Source organism: Homo sapiens, chromosome 4 (assembly GCF_000001405.40).
Source record: "Homo sapiens chromosome 4, GRCh38.p14 Primary Assembly".
Lineage (NCBI taxonomy): Eukaryota > Metazoa > Chordata > Mammalia > Primates > Hominidae > Homo > Homo sapiens.
This window is the reverse complement of record NC_000004.12, coordinates 168915086-168921381: the sequence shown is the minus strand read 5'-3', so window position 1 is coordinate 168921381 and position 6296 is coordinate 168915086. Positions and strand designations below refer to the sequence as shown.

The 6296-nt window shown below is 39.5% G+C and overlaps 2 protein-coding genes across 31 annotated transcripts in view; one reads left to right on the top strand and one right to left on the bottom strand.

The window, feature by feature from the left end:
* The window catches only part of PALLD (palladin, cytoskeletal associated protein), a 431390-nt gene that overhangs the window by 7060 nt on the left and 418034 nt on the right, over positions 1–6296 (bottom strand). For all 27 annotated transcript variants that reach the window (XM_011531768.3, XM_011531769.3, XM_011531771.3 and 24 more), the window contains one exon: positions 5355–5487. In XM_011531768.3, coding sequence (XP_011530070.1) covers positions 5355–5487 — 133 coding nt within the window. The remainder of the gene's footprint in view (positions 1–5354; positions 5488–6296) is intronic.
* CBR4 (carbonyl reductase 4) overlaps positions 1–6296 on the top strand; it is a 115770-nt gene that overhangs the window by 88874 nt on the left and 20600 nt on the right. The window lies entirely within an intron of this gene.

Sequence of the window (6296 nt, the reverse complement as noted above, 5' to 3'; positions counted from 1 at the left end):
AGGCTGGAGTGCAGTGGCACAATCTCAGCTCACTGCAACCTCTGCCTCCCGGGTTCAAGCGATTCTCCTGTCTCAGCCTCCTGAGTAGCTGGGATTACAGATGCCTGCCACTATGCCAGCCTAATTTTTAGTATTTTCAGTAGAGATAGGGTTTCACTATGTTGGCCGGGCTGGTCTTGAACTCCTGACCTCAGGTGATCCGCCTGCCTCAGCCTCCCAAAGTGCTGGGATTACAAGCATGAGCCATTGCACCGGGCCAAGAGATGGCTTTTAGTATCAGCTCATGTTACTCTTTTGCTTAAAACTTTTGCTTTAAACTTTGGCTTCCTGAGCACTCACCAGCTTACATCTAAACAATTCTTACAGAGCAACCTAGAGAAGACCGAGATGGGATTTAAAAAATTGCTGTCATGGTCTTACCTTGCCCAGGGCTATGGAGATTAATGGGATGATATCAGCACCAGGCTCTGGGCTTCTTTGAAAAAAGATGTCCAACAATAATAACAAATACTCAGCTGGCATTTATATATAGTACTGTAAAGCTTCTCATCAAGGAGCAGCCATAGTTATGGAGAATGCATTCGTCAGCACACAGGGCTGCTATTATTATTTTATAATCCTTGAAACTGAATAACAAGAGCAATACGAAATTACCCAGAAAGCCATCTCAACAAATTACCATCACAATGGAAACATCATAAAATCTTGAGACCTTGACAGTTGTGTGGACCAGAGATCAGATAAAAGCATTTAATTGCTAATAACATGTTGTGCCGCAAAGGGTCAGGATGGTCGCCATCTGCCAGCTTTTTAGTTTTGCCCTTGATTTTGAATGGAAGAAATGCACTGTTAAGGAAGGCCTTTTTACCCCCTACCCCCAACTTTACTAGTACGAAGTTATATACAAAAAGATGTCACTTAGACTGTAAAACAGTTCTTTTGAAGAACTAGCTTTGCCAGCATCAGCCAGAGGACTCACAAATTCCATTCCTGCTACGTGATACTCAACTGATATTACCTGCAAGATGCCTCCCACCACACATGTAGCAAAGGGCTACAGCATTTAAAGTAAACTTAAATGACTGGTTAAAAGGATGAAGAGGTTTTGGAAACAAACAGCAGTAGTTAGGCAGCTTGGCTTCTGAGACACTCAGGCTCTGTGTTCTCCTATCTATCCACTTGCTGTCCCCAGCTCTCCATGTACACTGCCTGACCTGTTTGGAGGTCATCAGAAGTGGTGTGGAGGAAGAGGGAGTGGACATCTTTGGTCAGGCTCCTTGTTGTTCCCACATCTAGAAACAAAGCGGCACTGCTTGTTCCTACTTTACCAGGTTAGATCCTAGATAAGCCATCTACTGACTGAAGCCACAGTATGTTTAGTAGGAGAGATGCCCAAAGCACGCGTACTCTCAAACCACGTGATTCACAGTGAACCTACCCAGTGGATAGTTACTCATGCTAGGGCAAAGAGAATGCCCCTTGTACCTTTTTTCTAACCCCAGTTCTCCTGGCTAAGTAAAGACAGCATGATCTCAGGAGCTGAAGGTCACCACCAGCAGGTCACAATGTAACTAGATCTGTACTCTCAGCACACATGAAAATAGTGATGCTTGTTGCTATGGGAGTGGAATTAGTTATTTTCCTGAAAATTTAGTACCAGTTAAGGATAATCAGTGTCTAGGAATGTTCCTCAGGGGCTAAAAGGGGAGGGGGCTTTTTGGAGGAAAAGCAAGCTGCTGCTTTAGTGTTTGGCTTATCGTCAGGATTTTTTCCCCTTTCAAAGCTTAAATACACTAACTTTTTTTTTTTCCTGATCTATCTGTACATGTGGCAAGGTTTTTCACTTTTTTTTTTTTTTTAAGACAGTCTTGCTCCTTGCCCAGGCTGGAGTGCAGTGGGCACAATCTCAGCTTACTGCAACCTCCGCCTCCCGGGTTCAAGCAATTCTCTTGCCTCAGCCTCCTGAGTAGCTGGGATTACAGGCGCCTGCCACCATGCCTGGCTGATTTTTTTGTATTTTAGTAGAGACGGGGTTTCACCATGTTGGCCAGGCTGGTCTCGGATTCCTGACCTCAGGTGATCCACCTGCCTCGGCCTCCCAAAGTTTTAGGATTACAGGCGTGACCCACGTGCCTGGCCGATTTTTCACATTTTCTTTATCCAGGTCAGATCATCATAGTGAAATCAATAGGCAGTTTACTTTTTGTTTCCAATATTCTTTTAATGGCAGGCGTTTTAAGGACAGTTATGTGCCAGTCCAGTGAAAGACAGTACTGTTATTTCTTTCTTAAATATGATTAAAAATAGAGATAACCAGTATGGTAAGTGTGTATATACCCATCATTTAGTCACTCTCTTATTTTTTATATTTAAAAATAAATTCCAGATTTTATATACCATTACCCCCATATAGCTCAGTATGCATTTCTAAAAACAAGACTTTTCCATAATCACAATTCCATTTTACACGTAAAATTAATAATTCTTTGGTATAATCTAATTATCTATTTAAAATAAAATTTCCCTGGTTAACTCAAAACGTTATTTTACAAGTGGTCTGTATGAATTTTTTTAAGTGTTTTTTAATTGATAAAAATTGTATGTAATTCTGCACATTATTTTGAAATATGTATGTGTTGTGGAATACCTAAACTGAGCTGATTAACATATGTATGACTTCATTTTTTTTTGTAGTAAGAACACTTAAAACCTACTCTTAGCAATTTTCAAGTATATAGTACATCGTTATTAACTATAGTCACCATGTTGTACAACAGATCTCTTGAACTTATTCTTCCTGTCTGAAATTTTATATGCTTTGACTAACATTTCCCCAACTTTCCCTCTCCCCGTCTAGCCCGTGGTAATCACCATTCTATTCTCTACTATGAGTTCAACTTTTTTATATTGCACATATAAGTAAGATCCTGTAGTATTTATCTTTCTGTGCCTGGCCTATTTCACTTAACATTATGTCCTCCAGGTTCATCCATGTTGTCACAATGACAGGATTATAATTTTCCACTGTGTGTGTATGTATGTATATATATATATATCTCATATTTTCTTTATTCATTCATCTGTTGACACTTAGGCTGATCCCGTATCCTGGCTATTATGAATAGTGCTGCAATGAACATGGGAATGCAGATATTGCTACTGATTTCATTTTCTTTTCTTTTTTTTTTTTTGTGGGGGAGACGGGGAGTCTTGTTCTGTTGCCCAGGTTGGAATGCAGTGATGCAACCTCTGCCTCCCAGGTTCAAGTGATTCCCCTGCCTCAGCCCCCTGAGTAGCTGGGACTACAGATGCATGCCACCACACCTGGCTAATTTTAGCATTTTTAGTAGAGATGGGGTTTCACCATGTTGGTCAGGCTGGTCTCAAACTCCTGACCTCGTGATCCGCCCGCCTCAGCCTCCCAAAGTGCTGGGATTACAGGCGTGTGCCACTGTGCCCAGCCTCTGATTTCATTTTCCTCGGATATATAAGCACTAGTAGAATTAACTGGATCATATGGTAGCTGTACTGTATAATTCTTAATTATAGACCAAAAATGAATACACACTCATATATATATAAAATATATACAGACTGAAACACAATTTGTGTATTTATACTGTAAAAAATAAATAATGATCCTAAGAAATAAAATATTTTTGTTATATTTATTCTTTTTATACATTTCTATAATCCCAGATTTACTTTCTGAAGAAACAATGCCCAAATCCTCTAAGCAGCCTATATTTGTGTTCTCATATTCCATACAGAACCAGCAGAGGGAGCCCAAATAACTTTTTAAAACCTTATCCATATTTAAGAGTTAAACTAAATTTAAGATCAGTAAACAGGGGGCAAAAAAGAAATCAAACAAAAAATTTTAGAGCAGTGTTTCTTAAATATTTTTTCCCTAAACTCCTTTGAGAAATGGATGAACGTTATCTTACACACATAATTTTGTAGGTAATTTCAGAGTTCAAACACCTAATGAAGCCTGCCTACCCAAGGACCTTGGGTTAAAAAGCCTTGCTGTAGGCCGGGTGTGGTGGCTCATGCCTGTAATCCCAGCACTTTGGAAGGCCGAGGAGGGCGGATCACGAGGTCAGGAGTTTGAGACCAGCCTGGCCAATATGGTGAAACCCCGTCTGTACTAAAGATACAAAAAATTAACTGGGCGTGGTGGTGCGTGCCTGTACTTCCAGCTACTCAGGAGGCAGAGGCAGGAGAATCACTTGAACCTGGGAGGTGGAAGCTGCAGTGAGCTGAGATCACACCACTGCACTCCAGCCTGGGCAACAGAGGGAGACTCCGTCTCAAAAAAAAAAAAAAAAACCCCAAAAAAACAAAAAGCCCTGCTGCAAAACAGATGAAAGAAAGATGTCCCTCTAACTTATCTTAGAATTAGAAAATGGGGGCGGGGCACTGTGGCTCACACCTGTAATCCCAGCACTTTGGGAGGCTGAGGTGGGCGGATCATGAAGTCAGGAGTTTGAGACCAGCCTGACCAACATGGTGAAACCCCATCTCTACTAAAAATACAAAAATTAGCTGGGCCTGGTGGCACATGCCTGTAATCGCAGCTACTCAGGAGGCTGAGGCAGGAGACCCAGGAGGCAGAGGTTGCAGCGAGCCGAGATTGCACCACTGCACTCCAGCCTGGTGACAGAGTGAGACTCTGTCTCAAAAAAAAAAAAAAAGAATTAGAAAATGGGAGGAATAAAAGTCAGAGTAGATATATGGATACAAAATTTGTATGAAAAAAGAATGAAGACATGGTAGATTTATCATATTTATTATTTCAACATTTAAAGGGATAAATAAAACCTCCTGATGACTTTCTAGAGTAATGTCATGTAGGGTTCTGAGTAAAGAACATATTTAATTTAGATTTAAAGAATCATAGTAAACAATATATAAATATCCGACGTATTTCACTTTTTCCCCCCCTTAAGCTAGAATCATTTCATTTTTTGAGACAGGGTCTTGCTCTGTCACCCAGGCTGGAATTCAGTGGCTCGATCATAGCTCACATAGCTTCAGCTCCTAGGCTCAAGCAGTCCTTCCAACTCAGCCTCCCAAGTAGATGGGACTATAGGCACACGCCACCACGCCTGGCTAACTTTTGTATTTTTGGTAGAGATGGGTTTCTCCATATTACCCAGGCTGGTCTTGAACTCCTGGGATCAAGCGATCTGCCCGGCTTTGGACTCTAAAGTGCTGGGATTATAGGTGTGAGCCACTGTGCCCAGCTCTCATTTTATACTTTATGTAATTTCCCCAAAAGGAACTATAGAGAAATGGCAAGTGAGGGAGAAGTGGGGCAATAGGATATGCAAGCAATAACAAAATCTTACTTTGCAGTCCATTCTGCAGAGTTTTCCTTCTTGAACAGTCAGATCTCCAGGAGCCTGCAAGAAGTGAGGTCTGAAGAATCGCTCCTGAATTGGTTCATTTTCGTCTCCACTGTCCCTTGATCTAGAACGAGGCCTTGAAACAAGAAAGATGACAGATAGATAGAAATATAGATAGTAGTTACTTCCAGACTTTTAGTCATCTGTTTTCTTAAAATACATGGGGTAATAATATGATTTCCTTATCTGATCCCTACAGCTAAGATTTACACATTAAAAAATCAGAAAAGCAAACTCTTGTTTAGTTTGGAAGTTTACTATAAATTTAATTGTCTGCCAATTGCAGGCTACTATAAATCATAAAAGGGGAAATGGAAAAAAATGGGGTATTACATATTAACATATTTTTCCTAAATATTTTTAAATATTTATGAAAAGTAGCATTATTGCTCATTTATTACCAAATCTTTTTCAACAGAAGTTACTAGAACTTTACACTGTGATTTTTAAATTTGTAGGAAATTAAAAGTTCTGATAAAAATTCAATATATTTTTAATTAAAATTCCTTTTCATATTAAGCAGGAAAACAAATTACATTTTTAGGCAAGTTTTCTTTTGCATTAGTTATCCATATGCCTAGAGGCATTATTTTTTGCTTTAAAAAATGAGATTGTACAAATCTCCCAGATTCTGTGCATCTCTGTCACTTTTAAAGGTTGCCAGAGAAACCTTTAAGAGGAATACAGTTGAAAGTAATCGCAGGGAAGACTTAAAAGATGTTGAATACAAATTCTGTCAGTAGTGACTAGAAGATAAGTTTAAAAACACTTAACTAGGAAAAGCAAGAGTGGAACAAATGAAAGAAGCATACTAGGCTAATAATTATTAGCTTTTTAATATAGTTTACCCTTCTCTAAGTATAGATCTAATTTATGGGAAAAAAA